We start from the raw sequence: 21,976 nt of genomic DNA on the forward strand, positions 1-21,976 counted from the left end.
TTGGAAGAAGAGGAGATTATGTTTAGAGAGTGGGCGCTTGATGTATTGATTTTGGCAGTAGTTTGAGGTGGCAGTTTAATTATAGAATGGCCACTGAGTGAAAGAGAGCACATAAAATTGTTGGAGGTCAGGGGTCAATAAGAATTGAGAACATGGGCTGTGTTTACATTTGAATTCAATTTACTTGCTTATTGCAGAAAATCCAAAATAACAATGGCTAAGTAAAGTAAGGATTTACTCTTTCATGTAAAGAAAGTCTGATGTTGGCAGTACCCTATGTTAGTACACCAATTCCATTAAGTCATCAGGGACCCCAGCTGATTGCAGTTCAAATTTACCAGCCAGCACACTTCCAAGGTTGCTTTGTAGCCCAAGATAGGTACTAGGGCTTCAGTCATCTAGTATTTATATTCTAGGTAGTAGGGAGGAAAAAAGGGAGAGGGTCTGCAAGATCTTTCCCTGCTGTCATTCCCCCTTTTATGGAGACATTGCAACAGTCTTTCCTAACTATTTCTGGGAATATAATATTAGTCTTGGTTACATGGCCATATTTTGCTTTGGAGAATACTGGGAAATGTACTCTTTTGGCTAGGTATGTTACAACTCCTTAGTAATAATATAGCAGCTTGCCAGTCCTAAAGAGGTATGTGAGAAATTTTTTTTTTTAAGTTACTAAAGAAGACTGCAAATACAATGATTTCTTCAAGTGACAACTGCTTTTAGTTAAGACAGAGAAGGAGAAGGAATCAGAAAATGTAGAGGAGTATGCTGATGAAAAGCAGTGGTTCCACGAGATTTTGGTAGAAGGCATGGGGGTGTGGGGAAGAGGCATGGGCTAGGTTGGGGCAAGAAAACATAGTTCATAATTGAGAGGAGTGAGGATGCCATAAAGCAGCAAGTCTCAACCTTTTGATCACCTATCCATATGAGTTAGAAAAAACATTGAATACAAATCTGCAATATGTTATGTAAATTATTTATGAATTACATTTACATATTGATGTACTAATACTGTATTATAAGAGATATATAAAATAGAAATTTTTAAAGAATTAGATAAAATATCAATATAAATGCTAATATTTTATTTTCCATACTCTAGCCAATTGTTTTGCCAATCCCTGGGATCATATGGGACTCAAAGGCCTAGCTAGCTTCAGTATAGCATAGGGTGTTGGCTCTCTTAGGGGAATATGAGCCACCTGGCATGGAGCTGATCCTACTTTCTGCTAGAAGCATCCTCTTAAAAATAAGAGAAAAGATACCTAATATTCTTTGGGAAATTTTGGCAATACAGTAAGATACAGTAAGCTTAAATTTGAGGAGGAAAGAGCATATTAAGATTTATAGATATTACCTTGTAAGGAGATAACATTTGATCTGAGATCAAATTAGCATCCCTTTGTATGTCAAAGTGATCTTCAGTGCTAGTTAGTGTGCAGTGAAAGCAAAGTGCACTACGCTGGTAGTGCAGTATATCTCGGTTACACTTTTGGAACTCTTTTTTTTTTCTCCTTAATACCTAGATGGATCGAATTCTTAAAATTGATATGTGGTTATGAATACATTATTAAATTAAACTTCAAGCTCTGTAATATGAGATAGCCCTCAAAGCCTAAGCACTAAAAAGCAGTTCCTCTGGACAAAACCATTAAAATTAAAAACACACAGATATGATAAATAGGTAACTGTTTCGTGTGTATATTAATTTTTAAAGAGAATTTTTGACATGTGACCATAATTGAATTGGTAATTCTGAGAGTAACAGATATTCAACTTTGTTATAAAGCTCTAGTAAATTAAACAACGGTAGACCCATAGAATAACACAGCAGGGTAGGCAGTATACAGAGTTGGGCCCTATTATCCCATGGAAACTTAATATATTATAATGAATGATAAAAATGACATTTAAATCAGTAGGACAGAATGAGCTATTCTTTCATTCATGTGTTTGTCTATTCAGAAAATGTTTATCAAGGGCCAACCACTGTCCTAGATGCCAGGGATACATCAGCAAACCAAATAGACTAATATCCCTGTCATCATGGAGTGTAAATTCTAGTTAGGGTACAGACAGGTTAAATACATAGAAGATTCCCTTTGGTGGGGGAACGTTATATCTCTACTTCATACAGTATAAAGAATTGTTACAAGTCAATTTGTTTAAAAGCAAACCAATTTGACAGAAGATTATTTTATTTTGATAGCTATCCTTAATTCATAAAGGAGAATATGGAGCTATTCAGTAAATATCTAACAGTTTTTTAGTGGTTAGGAAAATATAAAATCAAACAGAGTGTTTTTAGTCTTCAGATTGATAGGAATGTAAGTTTAATAAGTTTTTTGTGAGTTTAGGCAAAATGAGTGCTTGTATATGTTGCGGATACAATGGTGTATTGATACTTTTGTTTTGGGGGGCAGCGTAACCGTAGGTCTCAAAATGAAACAGGCACAGAGACTATGACCCAAGAATCTCACCTCTTGGTTCCCCTGGGAACTCTCTTGCATTATGCCTAAGGAGGTATTTTGCAATTCAGGAGTTTTACTATCAATCTTCATTCAAAAACTTCGTTGCATTTTGTTGTTGCATTTGTGCACAACAGTTGTAATGAAAATTTGAGAGCTACCTAAATGTGCTTTTGTTAGCATGATGCATTCATGCTGTAGAACATTAGCACTGACACAGATCTCTAGGACATATTGTTGAATGTAAGGGGTAAATTACAGACATTGTATGTAAACATCAGTGGTAACAGCAGTTACCACTAGAACTGTTCACAGTTCTTATCACTGGGAAAGCTACTGAAATTGTGGTGACAGCTATTTAGGTTTAGCCTTATCTCAGTTGTTTTTATTAACTTTTTAAAGAGAAGGTATATTTATTCAAAGAGAGAGTATATGTAAAATTACTATAGCAATTCTTTCTATAAACCTCAGTTCAAGTCTCATTTCCCACTATCCCAGCCCATTTTGAATATTTTGTCAGTATCACTTATTTGGCACTTGGCAGGTGCTCTTGTACATATGGTTGTTTGCTGTGTGCTCTGTCTTACCAATTAAATTATAGGTGCCTTTGACAGCTTAGGACATACCTAGTCCTCTTTTTTTTTTTTTTTAACATAATACCAAAAGAGAAGGCCTTATTTGATAAAAAAATTTATCATGAATGTCTTGCATTCTTTGGATAATATTTTTGTGCTTTTTAGGTTTATAACTTCCATAGTAAATCAGTTTTATTTCTAAATTTACTTGAATTTTTAATTATTTATTAGCAATTATATTTTAAACACTCATAAACATGGATGTTTAAAAATGAAATTGTTCAAATTATCTTACTTTTCTTTCTAGGTCGTTTATACGCAATGCAGACTGGAATGAAGATCGATAGTAAAACTCCTGAATGTCGCAAATTTTTATCAAAGTTAATGGATCAGTTAGAAGCTGTAAGTTAACCACTGATCATTTATTTTCTGGTTATGGTTAAAATACCATTTTATTCATTTGCGTGTCTGTGTTGTCATTTTAGTTCTTTCCCTTGGCAACAATCAAACAAAGCCATTATACCTGAGGAAAAACTAGTAATAATTTATTTTCATTTATTTGCTGTATACTTCCAGAGAGGTTATGAGTGTTAATTAAAGTATGTTCAAGTATCTTTGCATATGCCATCATATCTTGTTCCACATTATTATAGATGGCCTTTGGCTCCTCCTTTTATAGGTGAAAAACCCCTCCTTTTTTTTTTTTTAAGTTGAGACAGGGTCTCACTCTGTCACCCAGGCTGGAGTGCATTGCAGTGGCGTGATCTCTCGGCTTGCTGCAACCCCCACCTCCCAGGTTCAAGCAATTCTCTTACATCAGCCTCCCACGTAGCTAGGACTACAGGCACACGCTAAACGCGCCCGGCTAGTTTTTTTGTATATTTTGGTAGAGATGGAGTTTGACCATGTTGGCCAGGCCTGTCTGAAACTCCTGACCTCAAGTTATACACTCACCTCAGCCTCCCAAAGTGCTGGGATTACAGGCATGAGCCACCATGCCCAGCCGTGAAAAACCCTTTCTAACCTTCCCTTGCAGTCACGTGGATGATTAATTTGGGAATCTTAATATTTCTTATAATAATGAAATAATGGGCTGTGTATTTAGTGAAAGGAACAATGAAGGAAATGATGCCAATTACTTATCCTTTCTTCCTCCCTCTCTGGGGTCCCAGGGCAAGATATTCTTATGGTTTAGGCATCCTTCCCTCCTAGCAGGAATGTCGTAGGTGACTAATTAGTCACCTTCTTGAACCTAATATAACGTCACAGATCACTGTAGAGGTACTTTTGGAGAAGTGCCTATTGGATTGGATGTCAGTGCATAAAGAAGGCAGTGCCAACCTTAGTAGTCACACTTAGTAATGAGGACTCTGTCCTGTAACTCCTGGACCCAGCCATACCTGGTTTCTCTTTTAACAAAGTCAGGGTACACTCATTAATTCATCTCCTCCAAGACTGTTACATTAATAGTCGTGACTTACTTTTTATTTGCTTATTTAGATATCCAACCTCAGGAGAATTAGAAACCTATTCTATCAGTTGTATTATTTTGCTTAGAGAAAATTTAGACAAATAAAAACCAAAATGAAAACACACTAGTCAGCCCAGAGCTTTTTATTGTTTTCATTGTTTTTATGTATTGTTAGGAGGTTATGATTCAAACAAGACTTATGCGAAGACAGAACTTCCTACCTAGTTGTATAAAGCAGCCATGGGCAGTAGTGTTCTCTCTCACTTGGTGTGGCTGTCTGGCTTACTGACTCCTGTCGTCTGCTACTGTTAACTACCCAAAATCAGCCTCATGGCAGCACTGAGGAAATTCAGCTGTTCTGGAGCCTATCTGGCCTTGCATTTCTACAGCTGCTTCTATGGATACAAGATAAATTTGAGTACTCTCTTTCTAGGGAATGGGTTGGGGTAGAAGGGAGAATGTTTCTCACACATAGCAGTATATTTGTAAAATCCAACTCTAGCATTTTGTATAGTATAATGTCTCTTTATTAACTTCACTGTATAGCAGTAGTAGCTCAGATAATAGTTCTTGGGTAAGACAAAATTCAAACGTTTTCTGAAGTGTAAAATCACATTTATAAAGGGACTCATCAGGAATTTATCACTATCTGCATTAAATGACAGGTAAGATAAATGTATTCCATGGTAAGGGCACACTGTGGTGTTTGTATTACAGTTTTAAAACTTCAAGTATATTATGTTTTTGCTGTCAGGTATTTTCTGATGAAGATGAGATGAAGTGGCCTACTCTCACTAAAATTGTTCTACAATGAAATCTGCCTTTACAAATGATTTTGCAGTTTGGATACACAAATTACTGTTATCTGTGGGGATTTTTTTTTTCTTTTTTCTGTTCTTGTTCAGGATAAACATAGATAAAATTTCCTTAAATTTCAGCATTAAATCTTTTCTGGACCATAAGTTATTCTGTTTAATTATGAAAGTATTTACTTTGCTGATTTTATGAAAAATCCTGGGGCTTCTTTTAATTTAATTTTTTACTTTATAACATCTTTGAAAAAAGCAGTTTTTAATTAACTAGTTTGATGCTCAGATCTGATACTCCAGAGAGTTATTTTATTCCTGTATTGTAGTCTGAGTAAAAATTAGGAACTTTTTTTAAATGCTTTAAATTATTGTGTCTATAGAAAAGGGCTAAAAATTTACAGATAGAAGTTGCATTGATTGCAGGTATATATTTGTCTAATTTTTAAAAGCTTCCATAATTTGATTCTGAGTTTGTCATCTTATACCTTACTTTGAATTAGATCTTTTTTGTTTTTCACACTATGTGCTCTGAGAGATATCATTATTATTATTATTATTATTATTATTATTATTATTATTATTTTGAGACAGAGTCTCGCTCATTCGCCCAGGCTGGAGTGCAGTGGCGCGATCTCAGCCCACTGCAAGCTCCTCCTCCCAGGTTCATGCCATTCTCCTGCCTCAGCCTCCCGAGTAGCTGGGACTACAGCTGCCCGCCACCATGCCCAGCTAATTTCTTTTTGTATTTTTAGTAGAGACGGGGTTTCACTGTGTTAGCCAGAATGGTCTCGATCTCCTGACCTCGTGATCCACCCGCCTCAGCCTCTCAAAGTACTGGGATTACGAGTGTGAACCACTGTGCCCGGCCGAGAGATATTATTTTACGACATGATGAACCTTCTAGTCTTATTTTTTTTAGATTTGACAGAAATTGAAATGGGAATAAATTAAAATTTTAAGTTATATATGCCTAGAAATTATTTTCTAATTCTATTTTTAGGGTAACTTATAGTTTGGGTAATAAAACATGATTTTGAAATATTTGATGCTTCCTTCACATGGATAATTGGATATATTATCCTTTTATGCTTGGTTATTTTGATTGTTAGAGCTAAATTATATTTTCAGTTTATCATAAGTGTGTTTCTTCAAAGTTGTAAGCATTGGATTTTGTTTTAAATGCATTGGGCTGAGGCATAGCAGCTCTTTTTGCAAGATTTCATTGATGACATCTTTTATTGAAATGAATGTAAAATAATTTACTTAAAATGATTATTAGAATTGTTTGTAATTAAGTCAACACTTCTGAGAGTCCAAAATCATAAGCTATGTATCTGATTTTATTTTAGCTAAAGAAGCAGTTGGGTGATAATGAAGCTATTACTCAAGAAATAGTGGGCTGTGCCCATTTGGAGAATTATGCTTTGAAAATGTTTTTGTATGCAGACAATGAAGATCGTGCTGGACGATTTCACAAGTAAGTAAAGAGAAAAATAAAAATTATTTTATTAATTTTGTAACTGTATAACCAAAATTAACTAGTTTTCTCTGGAACACTTTCTAACCTGCTGATTGATTTAGGTTTTTTTAGAAAAAAATTATCAAACCTCACGGTGATTTTAGATTACAAATTCGGGCCTTTCTCTTATAAGAAAATGGCTGAAAGAAGAAATACCCAGGGCAGATTTATTTACTTAGTAAATATGCTCTACTTAGCTATTTTTTAACATTTAGTAAAATCTGAGTTGATTTTAGCCAAAATCACAGCCCCGCCTGATGATTTTGATTTTGAAGGTACCCACCCCAATCAATTCAAATGATTTATCAGTATAATATTTACATTTAAAGAAATACATTATGGTTTGATATGGAGTCAGATAATACTATAATTACATTTTTCTAAAGTCAAAAACATACAAAAAATCTTGACGTAGCGCATTTACTTGTAATGTGAGTCTTGTTACTTTCTCATAGTAACAGATTAGAAAACCATTTTTGTTATTTTCTTGAAATCTAATTTTATTTAAAACATGAATTTCAGAGTGCTTTTATAAAGATAGGAATTTTTTTTCTTATAGCTAAATGACAAAACTACATTTTAATGTGTTTCATATTTAAACTAGACCGCTCTCTTTTCTCTTCCAGAAACATGATCAAGTCCTTCTATACTGCAAGTCTTTTGATAGATGTCATAACAGTATTTGGAGAACTCACTGATGAAGTGAGTGTACATTCTTTATTGTCTTATTAGCTGAAGATCAGTAATGTTTCTGTTTATCAATATTGTTATTGCATTGTTTATTTACAGCAGAATGTCTGTCAGAAATTAATGCAAGCAAAAAATGTAATTTTGCATTTTTTATTAGCCATTTTTAAAAAGTAAATTATTTCCAATAATATATTTTAATTTTGTACTAAGTTCTTTATTTTTATTTTTGTATTTGTTTTTTGAGACAGGATATTGCTCTGTTGCCCAGGCTGGAGTGCAGTGGTGTGATCTCAGCTCACTGCAGCCTCAGCCTGCCCGGGCTCAAGCAATTCTCCTGCCTCAGCCTCCTGAGTATCTGGGACTACAGGCACAAGGCACCATAGCTGGCTAATTTTGTATTTTTTTGTAGAGACATGGTTTTACCAAGCTGGTGTCGAACTCTTGAGCTCAAGCAATCTTGCCTGCCTCAGCCTCCCAAAGTGCTGGAATTACAGGTGTGAACCCCATTGCACCTGGCCTGTAATAAGTTCTTTAAATCCAGCATGTATTTTACACTTCAGCATATGTGTGACTACTGTATTGGACAGCACAGGTTTAGAGTTTGATCTTACTAAGTATTAACATATTACTAATCCTGTATGTTGTTAAGTTTTTACACTGTAATTTGTTGAACATACTTGAGGTAGAATCATTTTTTTTTTTGAGATGGAATTTTGCTCTTGTTGCCCAGGCTGGAGTGCAATGGCACAGTCTTGGTTCACTGCAACCTCCGCCTCCCAGGTTCAAGCGATTCTCCTGCCTCAGTCTCCCTAGTAGCTGGGATTACAGGCGGATGCCACGACACCCAGCTAATTTTTGTATTTTTACTAGAGACAGGGTTTCACCATGTTGGTCAGGCTGGTTTTGAACTCCTGACCTCAGGTAATCCGCCCACCTTGGCCTCCCAAAGTGCTGGGATTACAGGCATGAGCCAACACACTGGGACTGGAGGTAGAATCTTTTTATGACTTTTTTTCTGTTTAATTTCTAGTCAGCATTATTGTTAATGGTTTGTTTCCCTTGTAAAATGCATATAAGACTTAATATTTTATAACATACTTCCTGTTCATTCTATCTATTTGATTCCCATAATGATTTACCATAAGGTAAGCAAAGCACATAACCTTTGTATACATGGGCAAATGGGGCTAAATGACAAATTTACTACTTTAAGTTCAGTATCATTTTCACCATAACAGGCTTTACCATTCATGTGGAGAATTTATTTTCTGAGAGGGAATATATTAATCTAGAAAAAGGAAGAGTTATAAATGAGATTGATACATATGTGTTATATGAGTGATTTGAACACTATGGGCAATGTTTTTTTTGTGATTAAACTTTTTTTTCAAAATGATGAGTAGCTCTTAGTAAAGTCCCAAACAAAACAGAGTACAATCACTGTATAAGGCATTTTTGTAAAAGATTGTATAGCAAAACTGCAAAAAGTTATTTTTTGTTTATATTCAAAATGAAGTTACTCTCTAAGCTTGATGAGTATAAGCAGGGGTTTTGCCAGCATGAAAGTTGTACAGGACATTTCAAAGTTGTGACAAATGAAGGACTTTTCTTTTTTTGTGAGACTGAGTCTCTCGCTCTGTCACCAGGCTGGAGTGCAGTGGCACAATCTTGGCTCACTGCAACCTCTACCTCCTGGGTTCAAGTGATTCCCCTGCCTCAGCCTCCCAAGTAGCTGGGCCTACAGGTGTGCACCACCACACCTGGCTAATTTTTTGTATTTTAGCAGAGATGGGGTTTCACTGTGTTGGCCAGGATGATCTCAATCTCCTGACCTCGTGATCCACCTGCCTCGGCCTCCCAAAGTGCTGGGATTACAGGCATGAGCTACCAAGTCCAGCCAGGACATTTTTTTTGTAATGTGACTGTCCCTTTAATTTCAAAACATGGAGCAATTTTGGCCCTTGCCTGCACACTGCCAGTAGCATTTCCCAGTAATTGAGCTAACTAGAAGCCACCTGAGATATTTCAAAACAGCCCTACCCTAGGGTATGGGGCAATGCCCATTTAGAGCCACTGCTCTCAGATATTTTATACTCTTATACAGAGTCATATAAAGGAGAACTGATACCCGGAGTGTGAAAACCTGAACTATTACTCAATGGGTATTACCTTTTTATATTCTGATGGCCTTATGGATCCACCTTTTTAACTCCCTTTTACCTCATCTCCTGTTATTAATGATCCAAATTTTCTTTTCTTCTCTGTTTTACTAGTGTGAGGCACTATGCTAAATACTTGGGGATACAGAGGTAATATAAACATGACATGATGGAAAGCTTTGAGTGGTTCAGTAGAACTTTGGAGAGTACCAGGTAGGTGAAGAAGAATAGTGAGAATTCAGATTAGAAGAGTAAGTCATAAGCCAGGTCAGACAGATGATGGAAGACCTACAATCTTCAGTTTGTATTTTTGAGTAAAGAACTATGCCTTGGGGTGCTTTGTATAATAGGAGCCTGTACAATGAACTGAAGTGAGGGAGAACTACAAAACCATTTGACAAAAAAAAAAAAGAAAAAAAAACTGGTTGATGATTAACTATGGGCCTTAGTTGAGAGGTGGAAAACTGTACATGATGAGTTGTTTTTGGTTTGAGAAACAATAATATATTGAAACTTAGACTTTAAAATTTGAGGTGCAAGTATGACAGCCAAAAAGGAATTACCAGAAGCCTCTTGGAAATAAATAAGCAAAAGACAGCAAAGTAGAGGGGACAATTCAAGTTATAAGATTAGACAAACCCTTCAGGTAAGTGGATTGTTTTGAATGAGAGAGATGACTAAATAAATACCCTTGGTAAACACTTATTTTTGCAGTGTAAGAGGAAGAAGTTAATAAACACATTCGTAGATGTGAATGGAAATTCAAGATACCAGAAGAGAGGATCATGATAAGGCAAAGTAACAGATCAGAATGCCACATGGTTTATTGTGCTCTGGGCCTACAGGCGTGCGCCACCATGCCTGGCTAATTTTTTGTATTTTAGTAGAGACGGGGTTTCACTGTGTTGGCCAGGATGGTCTTGATCTCCTGATCTCGTGATCTGCCCTCTCCTAGTTCTTATTTGGGGAAGCTACCTTCCCCTATGTATTTTAGAAGCAAGCACATAATCCTTTAAAGTTATAACTGCTAACAATGGTGAATCCAGCCAACAGGTAAAGTAATAGTCATAGGAAAAAGAACAAAATTTCCAGAACTCTTAAGTGAGTAATAGGTTCTCTTCACTTAAGGAATATGTAACACTTCCACATACATAAGCTACATTAATTTATCTGTATTTCAGGAGAATAATCTAGGTTTACTTTTAGCTACCATTAATGAAGAACCATCTTCCTTAATTTTTTGAACATAGTAACTAGGGCAAAACTGTAAATGAGGCCAGTGAGAAGGCTTCATGTGAGATTGGGGTGATGGGATGGGATTTGTTTAGATATTAGGGTTACTAAAGAGTAAGGGTAAAGGGATTTTTTTACCCCCTATCTCACTACCCAACCTGCTCCCTAAGCCCCTTTGCCTTGCACTGGTGCTAGAATAAAGTAGCGTCTTTGTTGGTGGATAAAGGATTCCAGATAGTTGGAGGGGTCTGGAATGGGATCCCACACACAGTCCCACCTGGATCACTGCTTAGTGGAGCTGTAGGAGCGGGACTGCCACCACCCAGACCTACCTGAATGGTAGAGCCACTGGCAGCTTGCACCCTGAGCCTGGAAAAGGTGCAGCTTTCAACTCCAACCTGTGGGAGCAGCCACAGGGGCTGTACCCTGCAAAGCCATAGGGGCAGAGCTGCCCAAGGCCACCACTTGTACCAGTGTTCCCTGGATGCTGGTCATGGAGTCAAGGATTATTTTGAAACTCTGAAGTTTAATGTCTACTATGTTGGTTTTTGGACTTGTGTGGGGCCTATCGTGCCTTTTTTTGGGCAGTTTCTCCCTTTTAGAATGGGGATGCTTACCCAATGCCTGTACCACCATTCTTTCTTAGAAATAAATAACTTGCTTTTAATCTTACAGGCTCACAGGTGGAAGGAATGTGCCTTGATTCTTAGATGAGATTTTGGACTTTTGAGTTGATGCTGCAATGAGTTAAATCTTTAGGAGACTATTGGGAAGGGATAATTATATTTTGCAATGTGAAAAGGACATGAGATTTGAGGGGGCGGGAGCAGAGGTGGAATTGTATAGTTTGGATGTTTGTCCCTGCCAAAACTCATGTTAAAATGTGATCCTCAGTGTTGGAGGTGAGGCCTGGTGGGAGGAGTGGTCATGGGGATGGATCTTTTATGAATGGCTTGGTGCCCTCCCCATGGTAATAAGTGAGTTTTTGCCCTGTTATTTCACGTGAGAAGTGGTGGTTTAAAAGAGCCTGGCGTCTCTCTTGCTGCCTCTCCTGCCTTGCGACACGCTGGCTTCCTTTTGCCTTCCATCATGAGTAAGAGCATCCTGGGCCTCACCAGAAGCCAAGCAGATGCTGGGCCCAGGCTTATGCAGCCTGCGGAATGTGAAGGCTCTTTTCTGTATAAATTAGCCAACATCAGGTATTCCTTTATAGCAGTGAAAACAGACTAATACAAGATGTAAACAACCTGAATAACCGAAGCCTTCTGTGTGATATCTGTACATGATGATTTGGGATATTCTAATTAAGTTATTTTTACTTAAAATTCCATCCCTTTTCAAAAAGGCCACTGGTTCACAAGATGAATTATGCAATTTACATAACTAATTCATCTTATTTTGAGCTTTTTTTCCCTGCAGTTCGTTCTTCTGTCATTGAAGAACCTACAGGAACTTCTTATTTCCTAACACTGCAAGTCCAAGCTCCTCTGTCAGATTTTCAGGTTTTCTGTCATGCTCCGTACTCTGCTTGCTGCCCTATTTGCCAGTCCTACTTTGTAGACCAGGCTGCTCACTGTCTTCTCATTTTTCACCTTTGGAAATGTGTTTTTAGCCGGCTTTGCCTAAGTTTTATCTTCTCTTCAGGTCTCACCTATATTATTCTAGTCCTTACATGAATTTCTCCATTCTCTCAGCTCTCCCCCACCTGTATTTAGAGTTCTAACTTTATAAATGTATTGACTTCATTTTTGTGTATTGTATTTTTGAATAAATTATATTGCAAGTACTTGAAGAGGGGGCTTTGTCTTCTTGATTAGTTTCTGCTTGAAAAGTTGCTATAGTGTTTCATTTTTTAACCTGTAGATGGAAAAATGCCTTACACTTGTTTATATATAACTTATTTTATTTCATAACTTTTCTAAAATGTAATAGATCTCATTTACTCAATGATAATTTTCTTGGTCATTTCTTGATTTTTTTTTCCTTTTAATTTCATGTCATTACTCACTTGTATAAAACTAAAGTCTATTTTCTTTAGTCCTTCAACATTTTTGTTTTTTTATTTTTTAATATTTTGTCTGCCACTATTCTATTTCTCAGTTATCTTATCTCTATTTTAGGTATATGTATTTAGCTCTTTTAACTGTGCCTTATTATCATTCCATCACAACATTTTAATTAAATTTGCTGTTATGTAAGCTTCTAGCTCTGTTGTTACATAAACTGTAGTTCTCTTGGAATCAGTGCCCAGTTTTAGTTATAGAGTCAACATAAATATTTTCTTTTTCTGCTATAGCATCTTGTATAATCTGTTTGTGGCCAATATTATTGATAGGCTTCCTTTCATTGTATTTTAGATTCATTTCACTACTAGCAGTGTTTGAGGAACAGATAACATTTTACTATTTTTCATTCATAATCTTTGGTTAAGATTAATACTGCCAAGTTAGGTAGAACATGAAAATTACAGGTGAAAGATAATGCTATTCTTATATATGGAGTTTTTGCTATTTGAGGGAATGAGATGAATATGTTTTCTGCCCTCGTTGAGCTTATGTTCTAACCTGGAAAGAGAAACAGAATAACTCTAATGATACATGATGTATTAATGAAATGTAGGGAAGGTATGCATTGGCAGTACCTAACATTAGCCTGGCACTATGCTTAGACACCTTGTTTCATCTTTCACAACTCTGAATTATAGTGAGAAAACTGAGGGTCAGAAAAATATAAAGTGCTTGGCCCCAGATACATAGCCCAGGACAATATTTCTCAAACTCTCTGTGATAAAGGTTCAGCCTTTTTTTTTTTTTTTAAATTTTCAATTCTTTGCAGATGATTTTGTAAAATACAAATGCAAGTAATAAATGAATTACAAAAGAGAAAATTTAAAAAGGCATACAGATAGATATACAGCATAATTTGCTATGTGTGTTTCAAATATTTCTAAATCCAGTTTCAGTATTATGTTGTCACAAACTCGTAAGCAGTTTTGCAGACCAGCAGTGTTTCTGGGACCACATTTTGATTGGCACAGATCTAGATCTTTTTTGGATCCTGTTATGGTCCTCCTGGCTTGAAAAACAGGGCTGCACATTTACTGAGGCAATAAGGCACATGAATAGCTGGCTGTGAGAAGGTGGTCTGTTTAAGGGTATCCGTGTGTACTGGAACGTTTCAAAGTGAGCAACATCTTATTATTAGCCTAGAAAACCATGGTAAAGCAGAGATATTTTCCAACTACAAAAGCATTTATTCCTTACATACACCATACTTTAGGTTTTCATGTTCTTACTGTATCCTGAAAGTCTCATTCTTAGCAATTATCATAGTAGATAAATATGAGAGTAGAGTTATGTCTAATTACAGTAGAAATTCCATGTGTCTTGTACTCACTTGTATGATAATTGCCAAGAACAATGTCTTACACCTAATTGATGAGTTGTAAATGAATGAAATATTTTTTCATACAGTATTAGTATAAAGTAATTAAGAGTGCAGGCATTGGGCCTCCAAATTCTGTCACTCCATAACTGCATGACTTTGGGTAAGTTAACTTATGTAAGCCTGTTTCAACATACGTAAGATGATGAAAATTGTAATACCTGTTTTGTCAAGTTGTCATGGAGATCAAGTGAGGAAATATATGTAAAGCCTTTAGCAAAGTGCCTAGCATGTAAGTGCTTTAAAAAAATTGGCTCTTGCAGATTCTAGCAGTAGTAAGGAGTATAGCTTGAGAAGGCCGATTAGGAAGCCTTTATGAACTAGGGTAAAAGATTAAAAACTTGAGTTTTCAGAAAGGAGATCAGAGAGTAGGGTTACGTTAAAAAAAAATATGCTAAATGTGCTTTTTCTGTTGGAAGGTAATTTTTTTACACACAAAAAAATCAGTTCGTGTAGTCCATTCTAAGTACTAAATGTGTATTCATTGCTAGTTTTAGCCTGTAACCTGAGTCTGAAGCATATAGCTCTATCATATAATAATGTTTAAACCATGTTTTAATAATATTTTACTGGGCTGTATTTAGAGAGGTTGTCAGCAAATACATAAAATTTTTCATGGAAACTATCCTAAACTGATGTGGCTTATATATTTACTTTGTATTTAGATGAGCTTATTCACGGGCATTAATGTATTATTGCTACTGTATTTGGGAGTCTAACATGTACATTTGGAGTTCCAAAAGGAGTACAAAGAAAACGAGTACAAAAAGATATCTGAAGAAATAATGACCACAGATTTTCCAAATTGAGTAAAAAAGCAGCTACAGATTCAAGAAGCACAGTGGACAATTAGGTTAATATAAAGGAAATCACACCTAGAAACATTGTAGTCAAACCACTGAAGTCTAGTGATGGAAGAGAAAATCTTGAAAAAGCAGCCTTGAGAAAATGTGTTACACACAGGGTAACAGTGTTGTGAGGGATAGCTGACTTCTCATTTTTTAAAAAATTGGAGGCTGGAGGATAATAAAATGACATATTTAAAGGGCTGAAAGAAAAAAAATAAAACAAATGAACAAAAACCCTGTCAACTCAGAATTCTATATACAGCAAAGCTGTGCTTCAAAAAATGAAGGTTTTAAAAAAACATTTTTAGGCAAGTTAATTCATTGCTAGCAGGTCTGCACTAAAGATCCAAAGAACTAAAGAACAGCTAAAATGAAGGAAGTTTTTCAGGCAGAAGGAAAAGGATACCAAGTAGGAATTTGATTTACAGGAAGGAATGAACAACACTGGACACAGTAATGTAGGTAAATGTAAAAGACTATATATTTTTAATTTCTTTAAAAGATACATGACTATATTTGTAAAAATTATTTTAACTGTACATATATATATTTGGCAAACTCTAAAGAAGGCAGAGAAGGGGAAGAGAAGGAAACATAAACAGGTGGGACCAATGCAAAACACATAGCAAATTTTAGACCTAAATACAGCTATGTTGTTACATACCATAATTGTAAATGGACTAACACCCAAATTTTATAGTAGAGGTTTTCAGACTAGATTTTTTTTTAAAAGCAAGCCTTAACTGTATACTGTTTCTAAGAGATACTGTTCAAATACAAATATAAATATTTTGAAAATGAAAATATGGAAAAAGATGCTTAATGCAGATACTAAGTAAATAGAATCTCAAGTGGCCATAGATAAAATAGGCTTTGAGTAGATGTGTTACTAGAAATAAAAGGGGCCATTTTATAATAATGGGTCAGTTCATCAAGAAGACAATACAGTTACAAATGTCTGTGCACCTAATAATAAAACTTTCAAACTATATGAAACAAAAATCAACAAAAAAAGAAAAATAAGGAAAAACTCATAATCATAATTGGAAATTTTAACACCCCCATTAGTCATCGATAGAATAATTTTTTTAAATCAATAAAATAACACGAATAACGAGTGGCCACATAAATTGTTGTCTAGAATGTGAAAAACCAAGCGCTTTCATACATTGCTTGATGGAGATGTTAGATGTTATATCCACTTTAGGAAAAGAGTTGGTCATTTTTTTTTTAATGCTAAACATACTCCCTTTTACCCAGCAATTCCTATTCTGGTTTTTATCCAAGAAAAATAAAAACATATGTCCTGAAAAAGACTTGTTGAGGAGTGCTTATGGGAAGTTTATTCATAATAGCCCAAAGCTAGAAACAACCCTGATGTCCACCAACAGGGGCACTGGTAAACACATTGGGGTATTAGATACAAAAAGGAACTGACTGCTGATATAACCTACAACATGGATGAATCTAGTAGACATTATGCTGAGCAAAAAAAGAGCCGGAAGTATACAAACTATATGATTCCCTTCATATACATATGTGTGTACATGCGCGCACACCAAAGGAAGTTGATCTGGGAAGGGATATAAATAGAAGTATGGTTTACCCAGGTATATTAATCTGTTTGTCACAATATTAAATTGTGCACTGAAGATGTATGCATCTCAAAGTATGTTCGTTTTACTGCAGAAGTTGAATGTTGAACTATTTTATTGATAGGTTTGGTTTATCTTAGTATGGGTTGACAGTTCTAAACCTGCTTATTCTATATTCTAAGAGTGACCAAATGATTAAATATATTGAGGGAGACAGTTTTCTCACTTTTGGGGAATTTAGTTACAATGTGGAATGAGAGAAGACTAGATTGTGTTGTGCTGTTAGGTTGGAATTGTTGTAATCTTAATTCATGCTTTTAAATATATTACACTAGATGAATAGATCTATTTATATAGGTATAATATGTATACTATAGTTTGTGTATCTGTATACTCTGCTAGGAGCAATGATGCAGCAGTAGCAGTGAGCACACAGTGAGCATCCCTAGTGCCTGATTTTCTGTTCTAATTTTATTCTGCATAAGGAACCAGGACTTTCGTAAAAAGTGCTTAATCTAGGGCTAAGTCCAGGAAGGCTACAGATAAGGCCAGACCTTCTTGTGACAGAAAGGAGGAAAGTGTTATCATAATCATAGGACCCAGAAGCCGACTTGAAAGGGTTCCCATTGTCCAAGCCAGGGACAGTTTGAGCATAAAAATAAGAATGATAGTAATGGATGATAACTCATTGAATAAATTAAGAATCTGTATAGGTCCAGACTGATACATATGAAGAAATAAATAAATGAATAAATAATAGAAGAGCAGAGAAGGCTCTTTGTCATAGTATTCTAACTATAAATATACAAATAGTGATAAAATTAAATTATTAGTGGGCTTTAAAAGTAGTAGGTGGAAAGTTTGATAAAAAGAAGTATATTTACATGTCTCTGAATATCTTACCAAATTGCTTATTGATATCAGAGGAAAATAGTAATTCAATAATGAGAAAACTTGTAACACACCTCTTTAGGCCAAGTCATTAAACCTAACACCACTAATATTGGGACAGCTCACGTCATGTGCATCCTAATAAGATGATCTGAAAAAGACAAACATCGCTTCAGTGATAATGCTTCCAAAAACGTATAACCCGAACGTAATCATGAGGAGACATCAGACAAATCAATAGACATTTTACAGCTTGGTTGGTATTTTTTAAAAAGTCAAGGTCAAGAAACACTAATCATGCTCCTTAGATTAGATCTGGGCCTGGGGGGAAAATAACTACAAAGGACGTGATTGGGACAATTGACAAAATTTATTGGGACTGTGGATCAGACTGTGTAACTATTAAATTTTCCGATTTTTGAGATTGTCCTAGATTTTGGAAAGTGCAATGAAAGGGTAAGGGGACACCGTGTCTTCAATTTACTCTTAAATGGTACAGAAAAAAAAAAAAAAAAATATATATATATATATATATATACACACACACACACAGACACACTTTTTTTTTTTTTGATACGGAGTCTCGCTCTGTTGCCCAGGGTGGAGTGCAGTGGCGCGATCTCACCTCTCTGCAAGCTCCGCTTCCCGGGTTCATGCCATTCTCCTGCCTCAGCCTCCTGAGTAGCTGGGACTACAGGTGGCTGCTACCATGCCCAGCTAATTTTTTGTATTTTTAGTAGAGATGGGGTTTCACTGTGTTAGCCAGGATGGTCTCAATCTCCTGACCTCGTGATCCGCCTTCCTCGGCCTCCTGAAGTGCTGGGATTACAGGCATAAGCCACCGTGCCAGGCCTGACACACACACTTTTTATATTTTATATATATATATATATATGTATATGTACTTTTTATACATTTATATGTAGAAATAAATTGATAAAAATTAAATAGTTGGAGAATCTGAGTAGAAGATATGTGAGAGTATGTTGTGCTATTTTTAAAACTTTCTGTAAATTTGATGAAAACTATATTTTTTTTTCAAAAAATAATTAACATTGGTTTCTTTTCTTACCCCAGTAGATTAAGTATTAAACAGTTACCGACCTTACCTTGTTTGGAAATCTTTTGTTTACTTGGAACATATATTCCAATGTTATGATATTTTAAAAATAGAGGAGTTATATTTAAGTCTTTGTGTATTAAGTTATAGTTATGATTTGGGGGGTATAGTTTTACTCTCCCTTTTAAAAACTTGTTTGCTGAAATTATAGTTGCTTTGAAAAATATAAAAGGATTAAAATGTTGAATGAATATCAGGAAATACATGTAATCTGTGACTATAAATATTTCAGTGTCTGAGTAATTTTGATAATAAATTTGTTTAATATGTTTTTCAAGCATTTCTCATTATACCACATCTCAGTGTTCTGGGAGTTATGTGGAAGTCTTGTTTATATAATAACTTGGGAGGTTGAGGGACTAAGAGTATAAATGTATTTGTGATGTTGCCACAAAGTTAGAGATTATTAATCCCATTTTTATCACTGTCTACTTTGAAAATCTTATGAAAGCTGTGGATTCTCATGCTAATGTGTATTGCATTTTTGCATGTAATTTGGAGGGTGTTCCAGGAAGAGGCAAGAGAGAGTGCTACATTTTTGAGACTACAGTACAAGCTACCTATTCTTGTTCAAGAAATAACAAGGAGAACAATGTGGCAGAATCCAGAATGAGAAGGAGTGATAGGATAGGAGATGAGAATGAGGGTGGTGGGGGGAGGATTCAAACAGAGAATTTATAAAATTTGACTTGTATTTTTAAAGTATTGTTCCCTTCTGTAATGGACAAGAGTGGAAAAGGCAAACTCATTAGTATGTTATTAAATAATCAAGGTAAAAGATAATGCTTGCTAGGACCAGAGTTTGCCAAAGAGGACATGTTGAGTAGTGGTTGGATTCTGGATATATTTTGAATGTAGAGCTGACAAAATTTTAACAGTTTCATTGGCAGAGTGTAAAAGATACAGAGAACTCAAAAATGACTCCAAGGGTTGGACCTGACAACTATAAGATTTTTAACCATTGTGGCCATTTATAGAGTTGGTGGGGGAAAATCAGGAGTTGGTTTTGAACTTGGAGGAGCTTATCAAACATACAGGACAAATATGGAATTGGATGTATACTTATACAAGATCCTAAGGTTCAGAGAAGTCTGAACAGAAGATATAAATTTGGAAGTTGGCAGCAAATACACCTCATGGTATTTAAGGGTGGTACATTTAAAGCCATTAGACTGCGTGAGATCATCAAGTGTAGAAAGAAGAGACAAGGAATCCAAGAGCTGAAGCCTGAGGTACTCCTGACACTGGGACATGAAAAAGGACAAGTATAAAAGGACTGAAGGAGCGCGCAGCAAGGGAGAAGGAAAACCCGGAGGTCTTGATAACCAGGAAAGCAAGTGTAAGGGGGGGCATCAAGGAATGGGGTGGGAAATAATCACCTGTTCATGCTGATAGGCGTCAAGGAAGATGGCATGTAAGCCTTGAATTTAGGTGGCAAAAATCACAATTACTTTCACACCAACCTAATAGCAATATAGAAGTAATCTGTAACCTTGACAAAAGCTGTTGCAGTGACTGGTGGAGATTAAAAACTTGCCTAGGATGGGTTCAATATAAAATCAAAGAGGAAGAATTAGAGACAGCTGGTGTAAAACTTTGTCTTTCAAGGTGACTTTTTGGTATGCTAATGGAGAATAATTTATATCAAATTTTTCATAGCTCTAGCCAGGAATTTATTATTACACTCTTGTGAGTCTTACAGGTCCTAAGTTTGAAAATCCCTCCTCCCGCCTATGGTTGCTGTTGTCTAACCAGTCATGCTTCAGTGTAGCAAGTGATTTAAAAATTAAATGAAAATTCATGCTAATTCTTAAGTGGCCAAAATTTGCAGTTGTCAGTGATTCTCATCAATCTAATAACAAAACAGGAACTTAGAGGCCAAGGACAAAAGTAAAAGTTCTTTTTGCAGTTCCTGTCTCTTAGAAAGGATGTTTAATCAGCCAAAAGGAGTTAATGAATTTCAAAAATACATCTTGAAAATTTCCTTTTAAAATATTGTTTAGTATCCAGCATCCTTTACATCCTTTATTTTAAAGAAAACAACATTGAAAAGTGAATTAGTGGAATTACAACTGCCGGAAATTTCTGCTAAATAGTATATGCAGCAGTTTGTAGGAATAGGGATGTTTTGGAAACAGGATGAAATAAAAATTAAATACGTTGCTTTACTAAACTGAGCCCTTTTCAACTTAGTTTCTTAAATTTCACATACTAATGCAGAAACTCAAATTGGTTTAAACTTCTCTACACTGCTCATGCTTAGATATTAGGACTGAAAGAACCTTCTAAAGTCATTACAACTTTTCTACTAAGTCTTTAGACAGGATTAAATTATTTCAGATAGAAGAAAATTTAGCCTAATTTTAAAGACCCTCAAAGAAGGCAGTTTAAACTTTCCTTAGCAATTTCTTCATTTACTTGTAAAATAGTTTTCTTCGTAACTACCAAAAGGTACATTCTGCATTGATAAACATTAAGTAGCTGATCTTTAAGGCTTATTTTCTGTTATTTCATCTATTTTAATCTGAGTTGCAAATTGCAGCGTGGTAATTGTAGTTTACCAAGATAGACCTGAATGAGTGGCTAACTTTACTACTAAAACAGTATGACCTTCAGTAAATTACTTTACTTTTGTAATGACATTTCTTCATCTCTAAAATGATAAGATTATAGAATCCCAAGAAAGAAGGATGAAGAAATAGGGACTTCAGATAAGACACGTGTCACATTTAGGGATGTCAGTTATTGCGTGGTTTCACATTAGACTCTAAAACTCATGCTTGACTCATTCATCTCATGTATCCCCAGCACTTAGCATAGTACCTGACTTGAGTAAATAATAAATAACTTGACTTACTGGAAATGAGGGTGCTTCATAGGGAGTAAACATTTGCACTTAGCCTTGGAGGAAAAGAGACTGGGCAGAAAGGAAACCATGTTAGATAAGAGAGAATAGCATAAGAAGAGAATGCAGGTAAGACAGGAATCCAATCTTGATTGAGGGAAATGGAAATAAGACTGAGTGTCCACAATGTAGAGGGCCTTGAATGCCAGATTAAACTGTATTTACATTGAGCCAGTCTTATAATGTCTCAAAGCCTTAGTGTGAGTAAAATGTGACCTGCCTAAATTTCGAGGTTTTGATGAAGACCAA

At 35.6% G+C, this 21,976-nt stretch overlaps 1 protein-coding gene across 3 annotated transcripts in view; it reads left to right on the plus strand.

The window, feature by feature from the left end:
* Positions 1–21,976, plus strand: part of VTA1 (vesicle trafficking 1) — a 77,423-nt gene that overhangs the window by 15,615 nt on the left and 39,832 nt on the right. For 2 of the 3 annotated variants that reach the window (NM_016485.5, NM_001286371.2), the window contains exons 2-4: positions 3,351–3,445; positions 6,673–6,800; positions 7,469–7,544. In NM_016485.5, coding sequence (NP_057569.2) covers positions 3,351–3,445; positions 6,673–6,800; positions 7,469–7,544 — 299 coding nt within the window. The remainder of the gene's footprint in view (positions 1–3,350; positions 3,446–6,672; positions 6,801–7,468; positions 7,545–21,976) is intronic. The other variant, NM_001286372.2, reaches the window with a different exon arrangement.

Source organism: Homo sapiens, chromosome 6 (assembly GCF_000001405.40).
Source record: "Homo sapiens chromosome 6, GRCh38.p14 Primary Assembly".
Lineage (NCBI taxonomy): Eukaryota > Metazoa > Chordata > Mammalia > Primates > Hominidae > Homo > Homo sapiens.